The following is a 23,115-nucleotide window of genomic DNA, read 5'->3' on the forward strand; positions in this document are numbered from 1 at the left end:
TTTGCTGAAAAATCAACTGAAAAAAGTTAGCTTGGTAGGTGAAAGGCATACAAAATGTATTTTAACATGCATAGCATGGAAGAATCACAGGAGGATGATTACCCAATAACCCAATAGGAGCATAGATGTAGATATACCCTTCTTCACGGGGGAGGGAAGATGGGGAAAATATGGCAATTTGGAAAATAGTAAATGATTTTTTAGGGGAATTCAAGAACCTACAATGGCCTGGGACAAAGTCTGTTGGGCCCACAGAGCAGATAGTGGTTTGTAACAAAAGTCTGTTCAGGTGTGCCGACAGACTTCAGTCTCTCTTCATGTGAAATGAGTTAAATTAATGAAAACTTAAGCAAGAGGGCCAGAGGAAACTTTTCCTCCTGGTGGGATCAGACTGTAAGTAGATACGGGAGTATCAGAGTAAAACTTATTTCAGCATTTGCTGGTCTCCAAGAGCCTTTAATTTAAAATAATCAGCATACCAGCATGCTATATTTTCGGGTATTGGTTTCTGAGCCTCAATATCTCATAGAATGAATTTAACAGCATTTTATGTTAAAACCAGATATATATTGGACTCCCTACGTCTTAATAATAATGAATGTGTCAGAAGGGCAAGTGTTCAAGTGTATTTCAACCACAAGTCAGGATTTTATGTTTCTGTTAACAAGGTTGATGGCATACTAGAGCTGTCTCAATAGTTAGTTGTTGCTTTTTTGAATGATTGACAAGTCAATTAGATTTTAACATTATATCTTTACACTTAATTTCTGTAGTTACCTTTAAAATTGCCCATTTTGGTTAATGGCCAGAGTGCTGACCAGCTCATTCCCCTGCAGCCTAAGCATTTAAACATTTCCTGCTACCTTGTATGGTGCTATGAGACAGCTGTCATTGAAGAAATTCTGTTGAGAATCTGAATTACTCTCCTTCTGTATTATTTTAATGTTTGATATTCACATGATGGTTGTTTTAACCATTTTTTTTTACTTTAAAGAAAAAGCTATAAACTAGTTATATGATCTTTTCTTCTTCCTTTCATATGATGCTGCTAACTCAATAGAGAGACACCCGATTACAAATGCTATTGATGGAAAGAACACTTGGTGGCAGAGTCCCAGTATTAAGAATGGAATCGAATACCATTATGTGACAATTACCCTGGATTTACAGCAGGTATAGTTCCTCTTTTTTTGTCATTTCCACTTTTGAAATTGCATTTTACATTTGCTATTTGTTTAGTTAGTGGTTTGTGGGTGAAAGGATACTCTTTCTTATCACTCTCCATTGTTTTCTTGATAAGATGAACAAAGGGTCCTATTCATATAGCGTATTGTTATTTACGAGTATTCAGCATTTAATTATAAAGCACAATTCAAATGGAAGCACGTGAAGAGCTTAGAAATGAATTAGGTGCTAACTCTGTTTTAGCTAGCTGGACTTAATGATGAAAATATGGATCAATAAAATTTTACATAACAAAAATATAATAGTATCATTTTTAACTTTTAAAATAATACATTGCTCCCACTGTGCTGATGGTGTGTGCACTTAAAGGTTCTTGGATAACAAGGCTCTTGAGCAAATTGCCTCTCATTACTGAGAGCTGAGAAAGTTTTGACAGTTGCTTTCAAGTTAAACTTGGGTGACTAAATGAAGTAACAAGCTTTGTAGTTATACAAAATTGATGCCGGAAGTTGTTCAAGTTTGTCTTGCATAGGCCTGGGTGCCTTCTATGCTTAATCTCTTTCTTCCTTCTCTTCACAATATTCAGGTCAGGCTGAAGTTATTAATCAGGAATCGCCAGCACCTCAAATTATTTAGGCTTGCAATTAGGATGGAAAGTGGACAAATGCCACATTCCATCCTATTTGTATGCCTAAATAATGTGCAGGGGTGATGGTCAGGATAGTTAATGACAGACACCATACACTGTAAAGGTCATGGTTTTTATAAGTTATCACTGTGTGGGGAAGCCCCCAGCCAGTGGGCCAGATCAGCACAAGACATTTTCCTAATGGATGCCATTTGCCACCAGCATGAGTACAATCTCCCTCCTCCAGTGTCTAGGTTCATTTTGGTGAGGGCTGCATATATTCAAGAGCCACAGAAAGCTGGCTGGAGCAAACAAGCTGGTGGATTGCACGGTAGACCTGCCTTCCACCCATATGGGCCTCCTCGGGATATGAGGAACTGGTGGCGGCAGGGGCTCAGTGCTGCAGCTTATATCACCAAATGGCATGGACTTATTTCTACCCTCACTAATATACAGCAGCTGAATGTCAGTCCTGAGTTAATAATATTTCTCAGGAAGTCTCAGAGCACTATCAGAGAATGGCAGGGCAAGCTACCACACTGATCAATCATGCTTTAGGAAAATTAATCCTGTGCATGAATCCCCTGGGGATCTTAGCCTCAAAATGGACTGCATACCACTCCTGATAAAGACAACTTTGTCCTTTATTGGTCACAAGAGTTCTCCCCCTTCATGTGATCATTGAAAGTCTAGTCTCCCAATCAAGAGTGAGTCTGCTGTGCATTGACTCAGGTCATCTCCAGGGACAGGCAATCAATAAATAATGATGCTTTATTGTTCTGGTTTATTCTCCATTTATTCTTTTAGATTGCACATAGAACAATGGGGTCAATTATTAATATAATTTGCACAAATCACTTATAGTACTCTTTGAGCTGAACAGCAATATTATTTACCTGTTATCAAACATGGCAGCATTTTTCCCCTCCTAATTTACAACTGGATGGCGCAACCACAAGTTTTTACTAAATCATTTCTAACTTGCCTGTTTTTATCAATTCAGCAAGTCAAAGAGTTTACCTGAAAGCCTATTTTTCAGTGATGTCATTGATATTTTCCTAAATTTACTTTGCATACTCACTCATCCATTCCCACACAGTATCTTAAGAATTATGTGGATTTGTCGTTCTGTTTTCTCTTCCTCCCATTTAGTTTAATGGAGGTAAGATGAGTGAATATGCCAAGACATATTTTATGCTTCATTCATCATAACAAAGTGCCAGAATTCTGTATATAACCCAGGTCTACCTGACTCCAAAGTCTGAAATTCACCAAGTGGAATTGGTACAGAGCATATGTGTTCAAATTGTCCCATATTCCAGGATGGTGTCCATCCATATCCTTATTTATTCCAGCTTTCTATTTCCTGAAAATCAACCTACTGTGTGTGTAGAAGAAGGGGAATTCAAGTAATCTCTAAAAATGTAATAAATCCTTATTTCTACTTGACTCAAGATTTTAATTTAGTCAGTTATTTAGTGATGTGAAAAGTTAAACAGGTTTTGTAATCAAGTTTCGTGATGGAACTTCTCAGACAAGAAAGAGCTTCAGACTTCCAATTTGGCCTCAGGCTTTGGAATAACAAACTGTGAGACATGTTTATAATACTTATTCAGCTATGGATGGTATATTGTACTGCACTGGCAACAGAGAAAATGTGGACATTCTTATTATGTAACTCCTCACAATAATCCTGAATAAACCAGCTAATATTAATATTCCTATTGCATAGTTGAAGAACACTGTGCTTTAGAAAAGTTCAGTGACTTGGCCTTCTTTCTAAAGCTTATTATGGGCAGGGCTGGGGCAACATGAATAGTCTGAATCCAGACCCAAATACACTATCTTTTCTAATGGGTATCTGAAGACATAATCCTAGGGAGCTCAGGATAATTTTTATTATATATTTTCAAGGGCTCCAAATGTAGTTCAGGTTCAAGAAATATTGCACTATCTTCTCCTGGCTTCTATGGGATAATATAGCCAACAACCTGTTTCGTTATAAAGCAGGGGACTAGAACCCTCATTTTCTAGTATACTCTAGTGTGCCTCTAAAATGGCAAAGCTTCTGTCTTTTCTACCTACCGCATGAAGGATTAATAGGTTATTCAAAATAAGATGAGCTATTATCCAACTGGGATTAAAAGGCAGTAAAATTATAATGAATAGGTAAATATCACTAAATGTTTGTTTGTCATTTATTCAGCAAGAGACTTGACCATTTATTAGTTCTTCTTTTGTATAAATTTCAACAAGTGCCAGTATTGTTGTTGATAAATGCTTGGCTCCTCTGTGACACATTTTCATAAATTAGTATCTTAAACATAACAGAAACGATTGCATTTATTTGATTAAATCACTATAGATTACAGTGGGTTTTTTTTTTTTTTTTTTTACATTTTAACATTCAAGATAAGCACTAGAAAAAATAGCAATTTGTTTGGAAGAAAGTAGCTACTTATTTTATAAGTAGATTGTTCTTAGATACGTATTACTAAGGGATTATTAACTTTTCTCATTCTATTTACTCATAGCATATTTTGAGCAAGTGATTTAATCATGCTGTGCCTCAACTTCTAGATTAGCAGACTAAATATTACAATATCTTGGCAAGAAAATTAAAGTAATGATAATGGCAATATAGCAACTAAATTCCATCTCACAATTACAGCTATTAAAAGGATCTAGAGTCAGCATGAACTTAAAGAAAAGCTTAACTGTTCCAGTGACGTGTATATAAAAACTCAATATAATTGCGAACAAAAATATACAACAATTTAAAGGAGACAGTAATAGGGACTCAAACGTTAATAAGATGTCTAAAACATTCTATTTTAGTCTTTTTCCTACCAGATTTCACCAGAATATGTCATTATGTCTGATTTTATTTATTTCTTTTAAAATCTAGCCATTATCTCCGTCATGCCCTTTGATTTGTTTCAGAAGAAAGCTGATTGGCAGGCGGGGTAAAACAGAGGGAGGCAGCTTTTCAGTAGACTTTTCAAACACATATTGAGGTGATACTCACTCCTGGCTAATCCAGGAATGCCATTAATTAGTTAAGCTCATGTCTTAACTAGGAGTCTTCTCCTCAATAAGCAATTCACTTCTCTTCCTGGTCTATCCCTCAAAACTAAGAATGCGTTTACCAAACAAGATTATCTTACAGCTACAGAGATCACACTCCACATATTCTTAACCTAAATATTTTATTCACTGATCTTGCAGAGAAAAATTTGTTTGGACAAGTTAACAGTTTTAACTGGAATTTATGTTTTAGGAGGAGGATAAACTACTATTTCTATGCAAATATTACTATACTTTTAGAATCCATGTGAATAGTATAAAATGATTTTTCTCTAAAGCCTAGAATCATTAATGTAATGGTTAAACATTTCTGCAATAATAAAACATAAAATACGTGGAAATACTTTATATATTCAAGTTTTAACAATCATTTAAACATATTAAAGGTGATCCAATTTTCAGTCTTGAAGGAAGGTCATTATTCTTTCATGTCAATTCTTTCCTCATGCTCTTCTTACTGATTCCTGATTACTGATTAAAGGATGTGTTGTACAAGGAGGGAATTTTGGAAAATTCACAAATACATGGAAATTAAACAACATACTCCCAAACAACCAATGGATAAAGAAAAAATTAAAAGAGAAATTTAAAAATAACTTGAGACAAATGAGAATGGACACACTAACACTGATAAGAAGAAGCAAAAGCAGTTCTAAGAAGAAAGGCTATAGTAATAAATACCTACGTCAAAAAGAAGAAAGATCTAAAATTAACAACCTAAGGTTACATTTCAAGAAAGCAAAAAAAAAAAAAAATGAAGAAAAGATAAAAGAAAGAACAAACTAGGCCTAGAAGTAGCAGAAAGAAGGAAATAATAAAGGTCTGGGTAGAAATAAATGAAATAGAGACTAGGGAAACAATGGAAGAGATTAGCAAAACTGTCACTTGGGTTTTGGAAAATATAAGCTAAATTGACAAAAGTTTAGCTAAACTTTCTAAGAAAAAAGATCAGAATTGAAAGAGGAGACATTACTACTGATACTTCAGAAATACAAAGGATCATAAGTGACTACTCTCAACAATTATATGCCAACAAACTGGATAACCTAGAAAAAATGGAAAAATTCCTAGACCTACTAACACTGAATCATGAAGAAATAGATAACATGAGCAGATCAATGAAGAGTAAGGAGATTGAATCAGGAATAAGAAATACCCTATCAAAGAAAAGCCCAGAACCTGATGGTTTTACTGCTGAATTCTACCAAACATTTAAGGAACTAATACCAATCCTTCTCAAAATCCTCCAAATAACTGAAGATGAGGGAGTACTTCCAAACTTATTTTATGAGGCCAGCCATTAGCCTGATACCAAAGCCAAAGACACTGCAAGAAAAGTACATTACAGATCAATATTTTTGATGAACATAGATGCAAAACTCCTCAAGAAAATACTAACAAACCAAATTCAGCAGCACATTAAAAGGATCATTCACTGTGATCAAGTGGGATCACTACCAGGGATGCCATGGTTTAACCTTTGCAAATCTATAAATGTGATACCTTACATTAGTAGAATGAAGGACAAAAATCATATGATCATCTCAATAGATGCAGAAAAAGCATTTGACAAAATTCAACATTGTTTAATGATAAAAGCTGTCAACAAATTAGCTATAGAAGGAATGTACGTCAACATAATAAAGACTGTATATGACACATCCTCAGCTAACATCATACTCAATAGTGAAAAGCTGAAAGGTTTTTCTCTAAGATCAGGAATAAGACAAGGATACCCACTTGCACCACTTCTATTTGGCATAATACTGGAAGACCTAGCCAGAGAAATCAGGCAAAAAAAGAAATAAAATTGTCATCAAAATTGAAAAAGAAAAAGGTAAAGTGTCTCTTTTTGCAGATGACATAATCTTACATATAGAAAACCCTGACTCCACCAAAATAACTGTTAGAACTAATAAACAAATTCTGTAAATTAGCAGGATACAAAATCAATATACTAAAATTAGCAACATTTCCATAAACTAACGAGGAACTATCTTTAAAAAAATCAATAAAATAATCCCATTCACCATAGCTAAAAGAAAAATAAAAAATTTGGTAATAAATTTAACCAAGAGGATTGCTATGATTTGGCTCTGTGTCCCCACCCAAATTTCATCTTGAATTGTACTCCAATAATTCCCATGTGTTGTGGGAGGGACCTGGTGGGAGATGGCTGAATCATGGGAGTGTTTTCCCCCATGCTGTTGTCGTGGTAGTGAAAAGTCTCATGAGATCTGGTAGTTTTATCAGGGGTTTCCGCTTTTGCATTTTCCTCATTCTCTCCTTGCCTGCTGCCATCCATGTAAGACAGGACTCCTCCTTACCTTCCACCATGATTGTGAGGCTTCCCCAGCCACATGGAACTATAAGTCCAATTAAACCTCTTTCTTTTGTAAATTGCCCAGTCTCAGGTTTTTTTTTTTTTTTTTTTTTTTTTGAGACGCAGTCTCGCTCTGTCGCCCAGGCTGGAGTGCAGTGGCGGGATCTCGGCTCACTGCAAGCTCCGCCTCCCGGGTTCATGCCATTCTCCTGCCTCAGCCTCCCAAGTAGCTGGGACTACAGGCGCCCGCCACTACGCCCGGCTAATTTTTTGTATTTTTAGTAGAGACGGGGTTTCACCGTTTTAGCCGGGATGGTCTCGATCTCCTGACCTCGTGATCCGCCCGCCTCGGCCTCCCAAAGTGCTGGGATTACAGGCGTGAGCCACCGCGCCCGGCCTCAGGTATGTCTTTATCAGCAGTGTAAAAACAGACTAATACAGAGATGAAAGACTGGTACACTGAAAACTGTAAAACAGTGATGAAATAAATTGAAGACACAAATAAATGGGAAAACATCCTGTGTTTTGTGGAATAACTAATATTATTAAAATGTCCATACTACTCAATGTGATCCACAGATTCAGTGCAATTCTTGTCAAAATTCCAATGACGTTTTTCACAGAAATAAAAATAAATCCTAAATATTTTATGGAACCACAAAAGGTGCTAAAGCAATCTTGAGCAAAAAGAACAAAGCTGGAAGCATCACACTATCTGACTTTAAAATATACTACAAAGCTGTAGTAATCAAAACAGTATGCTGCTAACTTAAAAACAGATACATAGACCAACAGAATAGAATAGGAGCCCAGAAATAAATCTAAGCATTTATGGTCAATTGATTTTTGACAAAGATGCCAAGAACACACAATGGGATTGAACTGTCTGTCCAGTGAAGGGTGTTTGGAGCAGTAGATGTCCACATGCAGAAGAATGAGTATAGACCCTTATCTCATGCCATATAAAAAATCCATTCAAATTCTAAATGAATTAAAGACTGAAACTGTAAAACTACTGAAAGAAAACACAGGGGAAAAGTTCCATGACATTGGTCTGGGCAATGATTTTTTAAAGATATAAACCCCAAAGCACAGGAAACACAATAAAACATAGACAAATGAGATTACATTAAACTGAAACACATCTGGATAACCAGGGAAACAATCAACATGGCTGCTCTTCAAATCACTGAATTTATTTTGTTGGTACTATTTGGGTCACTGCTAAATTGGTGAATACCAAACTAACACAGAAGAGATTATAATATACATGTTCCAAATGTAGATTATACCTTACCTGAGTATACCTTAAGTACAACAGAATATAGTTAAAATCACAGTTCTTTACCTGTTTTAATTGTATATAGATTTTTAAGATCATTTGTTCAGTATCACAAGTAGAATCTGTGGTTAATTAGAAAATATATTTTCCCTTTAAATGAATTTGTGCTGACTTTTAAAATTATTAATAAAGGTGACAGCTAGCTTTGGTGTCTATATTGAAGAAAATGTTCATCCTAATTGGTTTCCGTTTGTCTACCCTTTGGTCTGCTTTCAACACAGCAGTCACAGCAATCTCATTAGTACAGATCACATAACACTTTCCACTAAAAGTGGAAATCTTATTAGTACAGATCACACAACACTTTCCACTAAAAGTCTCTACTGGTTTTCCATCACATTCAGTGGGAAAAGCACAATGACCCACAAGGCCTTAAGGACCTTTTCCTCACCTCTTTTCATCTCTGGCCTCATCTGATCTCTCTTCCTCAGTTGCCCAGCTGGTCATCCCGCTATGTCTTGAACACTCACACCTGCCTCAGGGCCTTTGCACTTGATATTTCTTATGTCTAGAATTATTTTCTTCAATTTCAATGTAGCTTGTTTCCTCACCTCCTTTTGGTTTTTATTCAAGTGTTACCTTCTCAACAAGGGCCTCCTTGACAACTCTATTTAAAATTGCAGCTCCCAGCCTGTCCACTTCCTAAACCACTTTCCTGCTTTATTTTTCTCCATAAAATATATCACCATCTAACTTACTATGTACATGTTACTGTTCAGTTGAATATTTATCTTTCTAAATGCAATTTTTTTGTGCGTGGAGCTATTTGTTGTTGTAATCATTGCTTTCTAAGCACTTAGAATAGTGCACAACATATAGGAAGCATTCAATGTGTTTGTATTAAGTTAATAAATGACTGAATGAATAACTAGTACAAACCACCAATCCATAATTTAAGAATCTTATTGAATCTGAGAATTAAAGGATTAAGTGATTTCACTGTGCTTCTTATGATAAAACACACTGCACTTTTTCTAATTATGAAATTTCCTTTAAGGTTGAATGGCATTGTTTTAGTCTATTTGGGCTATTATAACAAAGTACCAGATGAGGTGGCTTATAAACTGCAGCAATTTATTTCTCATAGTTCTGGAGGCTTGACGTCCAAGATCAAAGCACTGGCAGATTCAATGTCTGGTGAGGGTCTGCTTCCTGGTTCATAGATGGCCTTCTTCTTGCTGTAGCCTCACATGGCAGAAGGGGCAAATAAGCTTTCTGGGGTTTCATTTATAAGGGTACTAATTCCATTCTTGGGGGCTCTGTCCTCATGACCTAATTACCTCCCCAATCCCCATCACCTAATACCATCACATTAGGGGTTAGGATTTCAACATATGAATTTTAGGGGAACAGAAACATTCAGTCTATAGAAAGCGTGAAGTAAATTTTCTTCCAGTTCCTATGCATGTTCTTACTCTGCTTTTAAGCGTATTCTAAATTTCAGTTGTATCTGTCACTATGTGACTTTACCACACTTACAGCTTTATTTAGGAAAAGAGATGTTAATTATTTTAACTCTTCTTTTGTAACAGAGAAGTCTGGGACTGTCATTTTTTGTTTTTTGCTTGACATTGTATTTTTTCCTCATAGAACAAAAGTTAGTATAAAAGAAAGGGAAAAAAGGCCATACAATGATGCTGTTTAAACAAGAGTGTAAATGTAGGATATGTATTTTGATCTAAAATGTTGATAAACCAAATTCTAGCAATACCATGAAAATGTAAACATTTTGGAGACCCAGATCCTATTTCAAATAGAGTCAAGATGACTGCCCTAGAAAATGCTTCTTGAAGTCATGGAATAAATTAGATGATTGTTTATTTAAAAAAAAAGAACAATAATACATAGGAGATCTGTTAAAAAATCTGTGAGGAAAGAGCTGTTAAAATGTTGAAACCACATGAATTCTGTTATGGAAAGTCTGAACAAGACTTTCTAAAATAGATTGAATGTGGGCAGTTTTCACAGCTGCCTGATGACTTCCACACACAAAACATCCACATTTCATCCTTTTGGTGGAATACTGTGTATTTTCCAATTTTATTCTTAGAGTTTAATTTTTTACTTACATATTATGCTTATGTATATCATATTTGTTATATATATTATATATAACTAATATACAATTATATTATTTATTTAAAAATAAGGAATTAAAAACAATTATATTATTTGTTTTTAAATAAGGAATTACAAAATAATGAAGAGACCGTATTTATTATAGATCTTGAAACTGTGACTAAAAACCCCATGCACAGAGAAAATTCTTGAGTCAAATGGCTTCATTGATGAATAGAAGTTAGAATACTGGTTATTGTTACAAGGAGAGGGAAGATAATGACTGGGAGAGGGTATGAGGAAAGTTTCATTTCTTATTTTTGATTATATAATTGTACAATAATAATGTGTTAGTACATAGAACTAATATAATTGTAAATAAGTGTGTTTATATATAATAAAATATACAAAATATAGATAATATATTGTATAATGTATAATTATATACAATATAATAAAAATGTGATAAATAATATTGTATAATATATAATTATATACAATTATATTAATTATATGTACTAATGTATTAGCTATATGTATTTATATGTACCTATATATAAGACTTTTTCTAGAAATTGACTACATATTTGAATTGTGAGACAGCATGTATGTTTTGATTCATAGATAAGATATGTTTCCAATATTACCCATATCTCTAAAATACAAACATGGCAAAAAAAGGCTGGAGTGAGACTAAGGAGAAAGGAGGAGCTATAAGTGTGCCCAGATTCCATTTCTTTACCTATGACTTATGCGTTGGTACATTTACCTTAGGTAACTTGTCCCACTTTTATGCTCTTCAATTTGGTCTAGTGTAAAATGGAGCAAATAGGCCCACTTCCTTATTACGAGGCATATTATAAGGATAAAGTGATGTGTTATAGGCAAAGAGCATAGCACACTGCTGCACTTTAGGTGATACTCAGAAAATATTACTTTTGGTCTTCCACATTGAAAATAATGGTGAATGGAGAATAAATGGGCTAAGTTGTAATGTGAAAAATGGAAAATAACAAAACAAAAGCTCAAAAATGCTTTAATTACTGGATATTGAAATGATACCTATGAGGTTCACTTTGTATATCACCTAAGAATATTATTTTACTCAATATATTTTTAGCACTTTATGGACATTAATATTTCTATGGAGAAAGCTTAAAAAGTGTCACTTGTGCATTGAAACTCTTTTGTAACAGCTTCTTTACTCTTCTGTTGTTGTCATGATATCCTCCAGATTACTTAAATTTTTAACCAAGAAGTAACCTTACTTATTACTAGTATGCTCTTTCCTTAAAAGCTTTTCTGATTTATGTTATTTTAATTATATCAATCTTGTTATTATGTACAGTTTTTAATTATTTTAATAATTTCAACCTTTCTGCAACTTTCCATTTTAGATATGTCTCATTAATGGCATATAGTGAAGTTTTGACGTTTTGTCTAGTTTGGCAGTGTTGGTCTTTTAATGAAACATGCATTTTCAGTGGATCTGTGTGTATCTAAGTGAAGCATGTACACAGAAAAGGTGACAAATAAAAGTCTGAGAGAATTTTTGCTAAATGAACCTTCCCAAGTAACTACTACTGAGACAAAAATAACCAGCAACCCAGAAACTTCCCTCATGCCTTTTCCAATCACTATCTTGCCTTCTCCCCTAATAGTAACCAGTATTCTAACTTGTATTCACCAGTGAAGCCATTTGATCTAGGAGTTTTCTCTGTGCATGGGTTTTAGTCACAGATTCCATATCTATAATAAATGTGGGACTCACTGGAGTTTTCATTTCTTATATTTTCAGTTTAGTTGAGTTGGGCTTTTCAAGAAATTGATCCACTTACCTAATTTTTCAAATATATCGACATGAGTTGTTAGTGATATTATCATCTTTTAATTTACAATGATCTGTAGTGATGCCCTTTTTTTATTCCAGATATTGTTGTGTAACCTTTGTTTTTCCTTTACAGCTTTAATAGGTCTTCATAATTTCATTAGTCTTTTTCAAATAGCCAGTTTTGGGCTTGATTGATTTTCTCTATCGTGAAATTGTTATATTGTATTGAATCCTGCTCTTATATGTCTTGTTTTTTACTTCTCGTTATTTTTTATTTTAGTTTACTACATTTTCTTAGCTTCTTGAAATGGATACCTATGTTATTAATATTTCAGTTCTTTTTTCCTAATATATTTATTAACGCCTACAATTTGCCTCTACATAGGGCTTTAGTTGCCTCCTACAAGTTTGATATATTGTATTTTTCATTATCATTTATTTTAAAATATATTCTAATTTTCATAGTAAATTTTTCTGTGGCCTCTGAGTTATATAGAAGTGAAGTGCTTAATTTCTGAACAATTGAGTATTTTTCTAATCGTTTTGTTTTTGTTGTTATTCCTTTCCTCACTAATTCCACTATGGTCAGTGTATTTTCAATTCTTTGAGACTAAACTTTTTGAGACTTGTTTTTATCCAACATATGGCAGTGACTTGAAAACAATGTGGACCAGTTGCCCTGGCTCACTCCTGTAATCCCAGCACTTTGGGAGGCCAAGGCAGGCGGATGGCTTGAGCCCAGAAGTTCAAGACCAGTGTGGGCAACGTGGTGAAACCTCATCTCTACCAAACAAAACAAAACAAAACAAAACAAAACCCCAAAACAAATTAGCTGGGTGTGTGCCTGTAGTCCCAGCTATTCTGGAGTCTGAGGTGGGAGAATCACTTCAACCCAGGAGGTAGAGGTTGTGGTGAGCCGAGATTACGCCACTGCACTCCAGCCTGGGTGACAGAGCTGGACATCAGACCCTGTCTAAAAAAAAGCAAAGAAAAGAATGCAGATTCTATAGTTGTTGGTTGCAGTACTACAAATATATCAGTGAGTTATATTTATATATATTGATACTTTTAAATTAGAGACATACAAATTTAGGATTATTAAATTTAATAATTTAAATTTTGTATTAACTCTTTTGTATTAACCACCTTTTTAATACTACTGCCAGCAGTACTTCTATCTTTAGAGTGTACTTTTGTATGTAGATTCACTAGCTTCCTTTTTTCTCTGTGTTTGCGTGATATAGGTTTTCTCATATGTTGAGTGTACTTATATTTAAGGTGTATCTTCTGTGAGCAGCATAAATTTGAATTGTTTATTTAACTAATCTGATAATCTTTTCCTTTAAATTGGATACTTAATTCATTTACATTTAGTGTTACTATACTGATATATGGGTTCAAATTACCATATTCTCATCTGTTTTCTGTTTGTCTTATCTTTTGCTAATTTTTCTTCCTCATAACTTTCTTACTTTTGGAATACTGAAGGTTTTTCCCTATTTAATTATTCCATTTCTTCTTTCATTAGCTTGTCTTCTGTGAAGTCTTTTATTACTCATACTAATTACCATAAATATGGTAACTTGCGTCCTTCATTTATCAGAACTTTGTAATATTTTACCTCAGTCCCACCTCCCCATCAGATTTAATTCTATAGTTCTCATATGTTTAATTCTATGTATATATTAAACTCCATAGGAAGTAATTGTTACCATCATAAACATGCAGTTTTCATCTAATTTTAAACACCTTTAACTTTTTTGTTTATTTTTTGTTAGTATACTTTGTTTATTTATTTATTTCTGTTAGTAAACTTCCATCAAGAAAGTATCCCATTTCTTTTCTGCCTTTTTTAAATGAAAGCCTGCTAGTGATAAATCTCTCATCTTTTGTTTGTTTTTTCACTTTTCTTTACTTTTGAGACTTATTTTCCACCAAGTATAAAGTAGAATTTCTTGCCTGGTTGGAATTTTGTTTTGTTTTGTTTTTTTCCAGCACTCTAAATATATCCTATCATTATTACTTGTTTTTCATTATTTCTATCATGAAGTAAGCGGAAAGTCTTATTGCTGGTTCTTGGAAACAAGATCATTTTTCCTTTCACTCCATTGAAGGCTATTTTTTTTAATTTTGCTTTTGGTGTTCAGGGGTTTACCACAATGTACTTAGGAATGATTTTATTGGTATTAATACTATTTGGGATTCAAAAGCTTCTAGATTCTGTGGATCAATGTCTTTCACCAATTTGGTAAAATTCTTAGCCGATATTTTCTCGAATGTTGTTACTGTCCATTCTTTCTCTCCACTCTCCCTGAGACTTCAGTCACATCCCTGCTAGACCGTTTGCCGTGCTCATTATGTATTCTATGGCTTCTTTTCATTTGTCTTCTCTTCTTTTGAGGTTTCTCAGTCTGTACATTTTCTGGGTGACCTGTTGTTTGGTATAAATAATCCCTTTTTTCTGCTGGATTCAATCTTCTATTACATACATTTACTGGATTTTTAATTTTTGTATTTTTATTTTTTAGTTTTAGAATATCCATTTGATACTTTAAAAAAATTAGACTCCAAATATCTCTCCACTTAGTCATCTGGAACATATTAATAACAGTTATTTTAAATTATATGTCTGATAACTCTGACGTTGGAAACAACTGGGAGTCTGTTTCTATTGTCTTTTCATGCATTCCTGTTTTATGACAAGCTTGGTCGTTTTTGATTAAATAATGTATGTGTCTGAAAATGTATAAAAATTCTGGAAGATGTTATTTTTCTCTTAAAATGATTTATTTTCATTCTGTCAAGAGTTAGTGTAGAGGCAAGTTGCTTTGCTTCAGTCAGCAACTCAAATGTTTTGTAGCTTAGTTAGAGATTCTGATGGTTGTTTCTAGTTTACTCTTAGTTCTAGGGATAGACTTTCAGGACTCCAGTGGAAACCCCGACTTGTTTACCACACTCTTTCCTTCTTGGCTGACTCTTAACTCCAAAGTTTGTCTTCCCAACTCTGGGAGACTTCCCAAGGATCTTCTTAGTTTTTCACTTCTCATGAGTTCATTTTTGCATGATGTTTATCTTCTGGCTCCTTCACCACTTAGAAATTGGCAAATCTCTTGAAGGCAAAAGCTGTGAAGAATGTAGGTCTCATTTCTCTATGAATTATGGTCCCTCACATCCTAGCTGACTTCATAGCCCTGAATTCTAATGTTTATCTTCTTATCCTGTGAGATTGCTGAACACACTAAGATGTAGCTTTCTCTATAACCTCCTATTCAACTGTCAGCAAATCAATAAAAGTACCCTGAGAGGAAAATGGCTAGCTTACCTTAATTTGCTTCCCTTTACTTAAGTCTGGCTGCCTTGGTTGCTTGCTGATGCCTTCAAACTGCTGTTTTTAGTATTTTATCCAGCTTTTATGGTTGTTGTCTTTGAGAGAAAATGGAAAGGGAAAAAATATTTATTTTATTTACAGTTTTAAAAACAAAAATCAGCATATTATCTGATAAAATTATTATTGCTTTTTGTGAATTTAAGGAATGTTCTGAATTATTGCTTCAATATTAAAACAATAATTATTGGAACATTTTGATGGATTATGAAGAAAGAATATGTAAAATTGGGATCGTGTGGAAAATCTGGTATGCATGAAATTGGCATATAAAGTAGGCCTAAACAAAGCAGGTGCTATTCTTAGTAAGAAGCTTCATGCCCCTTATGGCATATCTGCCCTGAATAATACATAAAGAAAATAATTTAACAATATGCGTTTGAAAAATATTTGTTGAGCAACTACTGTTTTTTAAGCAGTGTTCTAAGCCTGTAGGTCTGTCCATGAAGGAGACAGGAGTCCTTGCATTCCAGGGTTTTCAAGTAAACAATTTAGAATAGTGCAAGTTCATGAAAAAAAAAGCATAAGATTATAATAAGATTATAGACGGTGATGAAAGAGCTAATTTACATGTATGTTCTATGTATGCATTTTTCAGGAAGTGATATTTGAGCTGAGAATTAAAAACCAGAAAATACCAGTCATAGAAAAATCTGGGTAGAGTTTATTACCAGCAGGAATAAATGTGGGGTGCTGAGGAAAGGAAAGAAGGCCAATGTGGCTGGAACCTAGTGATCAAGAGCAAAGGTGGCATGAGATGCTGTCACGGAGGTCTCCAGGTCTTCTTAGCTCCTGAAGGGAGTAGTCAGTCATGATAAACAGTTTATATTGAATTCTGGGTATAATGAGAAACCCGCAGTGGTATTTAAGCAGGTGTAACATGATTTCCTTTATCTCATTAGAAGTAACATTCTGCTAAATGGAGAATGATTATAGTGAGATAAGTGTGAAAACTAGGTGGCAGTCAGGAAACCATAGTACTTTTTTAGCAAAGAGATGATGGTAACTTGGAATAGAGTGGTAGTAGCAGAGAGAAGTGGCAGGCTGAGATTTATCTGGAGTTCGGCATCACCCGAATTGATGGTGGAACAAATGTGGAGAGTGGGGCCAAAATGTTGACTCCTAGGAGTTTGGCCTGAAGAAATTTTCCTGAAATAGTATGGATTAAAGGAGGAGCAGAATGGAGATACTGGGTGGCAATTAAGGGTCTGTTTTAACGTGTTATCTTTGAAGCATTCGAGTGGTGCCAGGCATGGTGGCTCACTCCTGTAAGCCCAGCACTTTGGGAGGTTGAGGTGGGAGGATTGCTTAAGCCCAGGTATTCGAGACCAGCAACCAGCCCGGGCAACAAAGTGAGACCCCTATCTCTACAAAAAAAAGCAAAAAATTAGCCAGGCATAGTAGTCCCAGCTACTCAGGAGGTTGAGGCAGGAGAATCACTTGGGTCCAGGAGGTCAAGGCTGCAGTGAGCCATATTCATGTCTCTGCACTCCAGCCTGGGAGACAGAGCAAGACGCTGTCTCAAAACAAAACAAAAAAATTATTCAAGTGGAAATATTAAAGGGACAATTGGATTTATGAGTCTGGAGTTGAGTGATGTGCACTGGGAAAGAGACTGTACTTAACAGTAAAGGCCTGTTTAAGATCATTTAGAAAGCAGGTATAGAGATAAAAAGAGGGCCTATAATTGAATCCTAGGCACTTCAAATTTAAAGGTGGTAAGATCAAATACATCAAGAAAGAGGGAATCTTCAGCTATGGCAATGCAGATGCTGTGAGGTACAAATTAAACCACTCAGGTCTTGGAAATACCTAAACATAGGGGGAAAAAACACCTAAATTGTAATGAGTATATGTGTGTATATATATATAAATATATATAATATATTATATATAATATATAATACATATATAATATATCTTATATATTATATATAAATATATATATATAATATATATAAAATTAGAGAATCTTTAATAAGAGGTGAATGGCTCCAAACACAGATTTAATTTGGAAGCTCCCACCCTAGCAATACCTACTGGTGTTCATTTTATTTATGTAAACACACAAATGTTGACTATGTAATTTTTCAATTAAGGAAATAGCCAATAAAATTGTGTGGAAAAAAGATAGCGGTAGCAGATAATAACATCTTTTACTTACTAAAGAGATTGTGTCTAAATATTAAAAGTAATACATTCCCTTGTCAAAACACTTCATTTTTGTTTGTTTTCACAAATATTTTAATGTGGATTTTGAGTCAAATTTTCTGTAGGAAGGTCATGGTAGATTAATGTCAAATTAGCTGAAACAATAAACACAATGAAAAGAAAAATCAGCCTTGTAAGACAGTACAACTAAGGAGATCAGTTTAAAACACTAATGAGGAGTTGCCTCTCAGCACTGGGTCATTATGATTATACTAATATAATAAGTTAGGTTCAGGTTAGAAAGCAAAGATGAATAATCTTCAAAAGGCACAGTAAATAGTCAATTTAGTTGTCTACCTTCATAATATTTACTATTTCCATACTAAAAGCTTACAGTTGTGGGCTAGAATATATGATATTCACGTAATAATATTTAAATTGAATTTCATTTTTTTGCTTCTTCATTATCCTTACCTCTACCCTCCTCAATAAATTCATCTCAAATGATAAGATTTTCCATCCATCATTGTGAAGAATAATTTATTTACTTAATGATTCTGGAAATATGGGAATGTTTATAAAACGAAATACAAAAATTAAGAAATGGAGTGGGCAAGTAAAAAGACATTTTCCCACTGATTTTAGAATATACTCAAGAAAATTAAACTAGTGACAAAATAGATTTATTTAACTTATAAGCTAATTCATAAATTAATGGCAAAATTTATCACAGTATACATAACTGAGACTTTGCAGATTTTTTTGTAAATAGATAACATTCTGATACAATTAACAGATCTCCATCAGCTGCATTAGATTTCAAGTTGCCCTGCTACCACTGTATATATGCACATAGATAAATATGTATATGTAGTGCAACACAGATGAGAAGATATAAAGTTGTTTTATTTTGTTCGAATATGTATTACAGAGAACCCTATGTGCTGTATAGCACCTTATATATCTTTCTTTTAAGAGAACCTCATAGGACTTCCAAATTCTTCACTGAAATAGCTCCTACTTCTTATATTACCTTTCGATATGTCAGAAAGATTCTTTTTCTGGAAGCTGTTGTTCTCATCCACATCATTGCACAGGCTGACAATCAAGACACTATTTCTCACTTTCTTTAAAACTAAATCAGGATTTGAGGGAGTGGAGGGATGACTAGGCAGAGCAAAAGGATTTTTAAGGCAGTGAAAATACTCTGTAGGATAGTATAATGATGGGTACATGTCCAAACCCGCAGGACGTGCAAGGCCAAGAGTGAAGCCGAATGTAAACTATAGGCTTTGGGTAATTTTGACGTGTCAATGTCATTTCATCAGTCATTACAAATGTACTACTCTACTGGGGGATAGTGATAATAGGGGAGGTTATATGTTTATGGGGGCAGTGAGCGTATGGGAAATCTCTGTATTTTTTTTTTTTTCTTTTTTGAGACAAAGTCTTGCTGTGTCGCTCAGACTGGAGTGCAGTGGCACAATGTCGGCTCACTGCAGCCTCCGCCTCTAGCATTCAAGCGATTCTCCTGCCTCGGCTTCCTGAGTACCTGGAACTACAGGTGCGCGCCACTATACCCCGCTAATTTTTGTGTTTTTAGTAGAGACAAGGTTTCACCATGTTGCCCAGGCTGGTCTTGAACTCCTGACCTTAAGTGGTCTGCCCATGTCAGCCTCCCAAAGTGCTAGGATTACAGGTATGAGCCACTGCACCTGGCCAAAATCTCTGTATCTTCCTTTCAATTTTGCTTTGAACCTAAAATTCTCCCTAAAAAATAAAATATTAAAAAATAAAAGAAACTCTATGTACCCTACTGACTCTTTGTCAAAGATTATCTATTTTTTTTCTCAACTCATGCAATGTTTAACACTTTGGACCATATTATCACTTATGGTTAGCCTCTTATAATATGGTATGGCTATTTTTTTAAAAAGTCATGGTAAAATGACATAACAAACAATTTTTTATCTTAGCCACTTTTAAGTGTACATTGTTGTGCAACCATCATCACCATTCAGCTCTACAATGCTTTTCATCTTGTAAAATTTGAAATACTGCACCCATTAAATAATAACTCCCCATTCTCTCTCCCCCAGTCCCTGGCAAACACTATTCTACCTTCTGTCTCTATAAATTTGATCATTCTGGGCACGTCATATAAGTGGAACCACACAGTATTTGTCCTTTTGTAACTGGCTTATTTCATTCAACATAGTGTCTTCGAGATTCTTCCACGTTGTAGCATATATCAGAGTTTCCTTCATTTTTAAGGCTGAATAATATTCCAATGTCTATGTATAAGTAGACTCACACACACGTACATATATGGCACATTTTTTGTCCATTAATCCATTGATGAACACAGGTTAATTCCACCTTCTGGCTATTGTTCTTAATGCTATGAACATGGGCATATGGGCTTCAATCTTTAAGGTTTCAGTTACTCATGGTAAACTGAAGTCTGAAAATATTACATACAAAAACATTTTAAGAGAGAGAGAGGGAGAAGCTACATTCACATAACTTTTATTATATTATATTGTTGTATTTTTTATTAGTTATTGTTGTTAAATCTCTTACTGTGCCTATTTTATAAATTAAACTTCATCAAAGATGTGTGTGTATAGAAAAATACATTGTATATATGGGCTTCACGCATTGAATGAGGGTCTTAGGATGTATCCCCTGAGGATAAGGAGGGACTACTATAATTCTACTGTTAATTCTTTGAGGAACCACTATATTGTTTTCCATAGTGGCTGCACCATTTTACATTCCCATCGGCCATACACAAGGATTCTAATTTCTCCACACCCTTGCCAACACTTCTTTTTCTGTTTTTTTTTTTTTCTTTTTAAATAGTTAGCATCAAATGCGTATGAAGTGGTGGTGGTTCATATTTTCAGTCATCGTTTCCCAGTATTTCTTGAGACAATTTTGAAATATTGTAAGAGATATAAAATAACTTTGATGTTGGAAAGAATAGCAGTGAAGAATGCCCATGTAAAATTTGAGAATCTTGAAACATGACAGATACAACATTGCATTAAAGGAAATTAAATCCTGGACAATTTTGCTTAGCTTGTAAGTACATATACAACACATATACAAATACATGTACCTATAAGTACATATAAAATATATCCTTTCTAAATTTGGCTATATTGTCAGATACCTGAGAAAATTATTATCTTTATAGCCTCTGTGATATGTCGCCAATGCAAGGCCCATGAAAACTCAAAAAGAGTCAGTTAGTAAATGAACTCTTTTATTATTTGTATAAATTATAGTTTTTATAATTTAAATGTAACATATGAATACTTGTGTCTGGAATTACAATAGACACATTTTTATCTCCAGAGAGTTACTACTGGCACTTTTTGAAATCCTGTTTTGTCCTAGACACTGGACAAAATATTTTACATAAATTATCTTATAGAACTTTTCAACTCCGTAAGAAAGATACTATTATAATTAGTACATTTTGTATCACAGAAATTAAACAACTTCCTCAAAATGACACAGTTAGAAAACAATAGAGCACAAGATGAATCCAGTTCTTTCTGATGTCAAAGCCTGCCGTGTATACTCCAGATGACCTGAACCTTAGAGTAACTAAAAGCATCAGGGCTTCTCTGATATATAATTGTGAGAATCTCACTAAAAACAAGATTAAATTACTACAGAGGAGTCTTAGAATTTAAAACTCTAAAAAGTGAAACTTAGGATTTACCAAAAATGTTTCTAACTTCTCATATACATGTATGGATGTAACCTGAAATGCTGGGTTGATTATTGAAATGTCCATATGAACTTACAAATTTACCAGAAAAAAATCAAACTACCCCATCAAAAAGTGGGCAAAGGATATGAAGAGACACTTCTCAAAAGAAGACATTTATGCAGCCAACAGACACATGAAAAAATGCTCGTCATCACTGGCCTTCAGAGAAATGCAAATCAAAACCACAAAGAGATACCATCCCACACCAGTTAGAATGGCGATCATTAAAAAGTCAGGAAACAACAGGTGCTGGAGAGGATGTGGAGAAATAGGAATGCTTTTACACCGTTGGCGGGACTGTAAACTAGTTAAACCATTGTGGAAGACAGTGTGGCGATTCCTCAAGGATCTAGAACTAGAAATACCATTTGACCCAGCCATCCCATTACTGGGTATATACCCAAAGGATTATAAATCATGCTGCTATAAAGACACATGCACACATATGTTTATTGTGGCACTATTCACAATAGCAAAGACTTGGAACCAACCCAAATGTCCATCAATGATAGACTGGTTTAAGAAAATGTGGCACATATATACCATGGAATACTATGTAGCCATAAAAAATGAAGAGTTCATGTCCTTTGTAGGGATATGGATGAAGCTGGAAACCATCATTCTCAGCAAACTATAGCAAGGACAGGAAACCAAACACCGCATGTTCTCACTCATAGGTGGGAAACGAACAATGAGAACACTTGGACACAGGGTGGGTAACATCACACACCGGGGCCTGTTGTGGGGTGGGGTGAGGGGGGAGGGATAGCATTAGGAGATACACCTAATGTAAATGACGAGTTAATGGATGCAGCACACCAACATGGCACATGTATACATATGTAACAAACCTGCACATTGTGCACATGTATCCTATAACTTAAAGCATAATAATAAAAAAAGAAACTTAAAAAAAATGAAATGTCCGTATATTTTCTTGATTTTTTCCAAATGTTTTGAAGAAAGTTTTTGTATTATTAAATGCTATTCATTGGTCAATTTAAGTAATCTTCTTTTAAGAAATCATTCAGAAATTGTAGGTCCTTGATCGTAATTCTTTTTGGGTAATTTCAATTGCAATAGGTTAAACACTGTGCTGGAAGATTTGAGAAAGATTATCATTGGTCCATTTTGTCAAAATCATTTCCAGAAGTTTAAGTCCTTTTTTCTTCATTTTTAGTGTGATTCATTGATTTTCCTAAGGAAGAACATTTAACTTCTCTCAGTATTCACAAGGAATACCTGCTTGAATGTTTAAGTACCAACAGAGGATTTAAAGTTCTTATTACTTATGAGCATTAAATGAATTCAATACTCCAAATTTTATAGAAGAAGCAT

General features: G+C 34.4%; 1 protein-coding gene across 2 annotated transcripts in view; it reads left to right on the forward strand.

The window, feature by feature from the left end:
- Positions 1 to 23,115, forward strand: part of LAMA2 (laminin subunit alpha 2) — a 633,429-nt gene that overhangs the window by 175,586 nt on the left and 434,728 nt on the right. For both annotated transcript variants that reach the window (NM_000426.4, NM_001079823.2), the window contains exon 3: positions 1,061 to 1,173. In NM_000426.4, the coding sequence (NP_000417.3) occupies positions 1,061 to 1,173 (113 nt within the window). The remainder of the gene's footprint in view (positions 1 to 1,060; positions 1,174 to 23,115) is intronic.

Source organism: Homo sapiens, chromosome 6 (genome assembly GCF_000001405.40).
Source record: "Homo sapiens chromosome 6, GRCh38.p14 Primary Assembly".
Taxonomy (NCBI): Eukaryota; Metazoa; Chordata; class Mammalia; order Primates; family Hominidae; genus Homo; species Homo sapiens.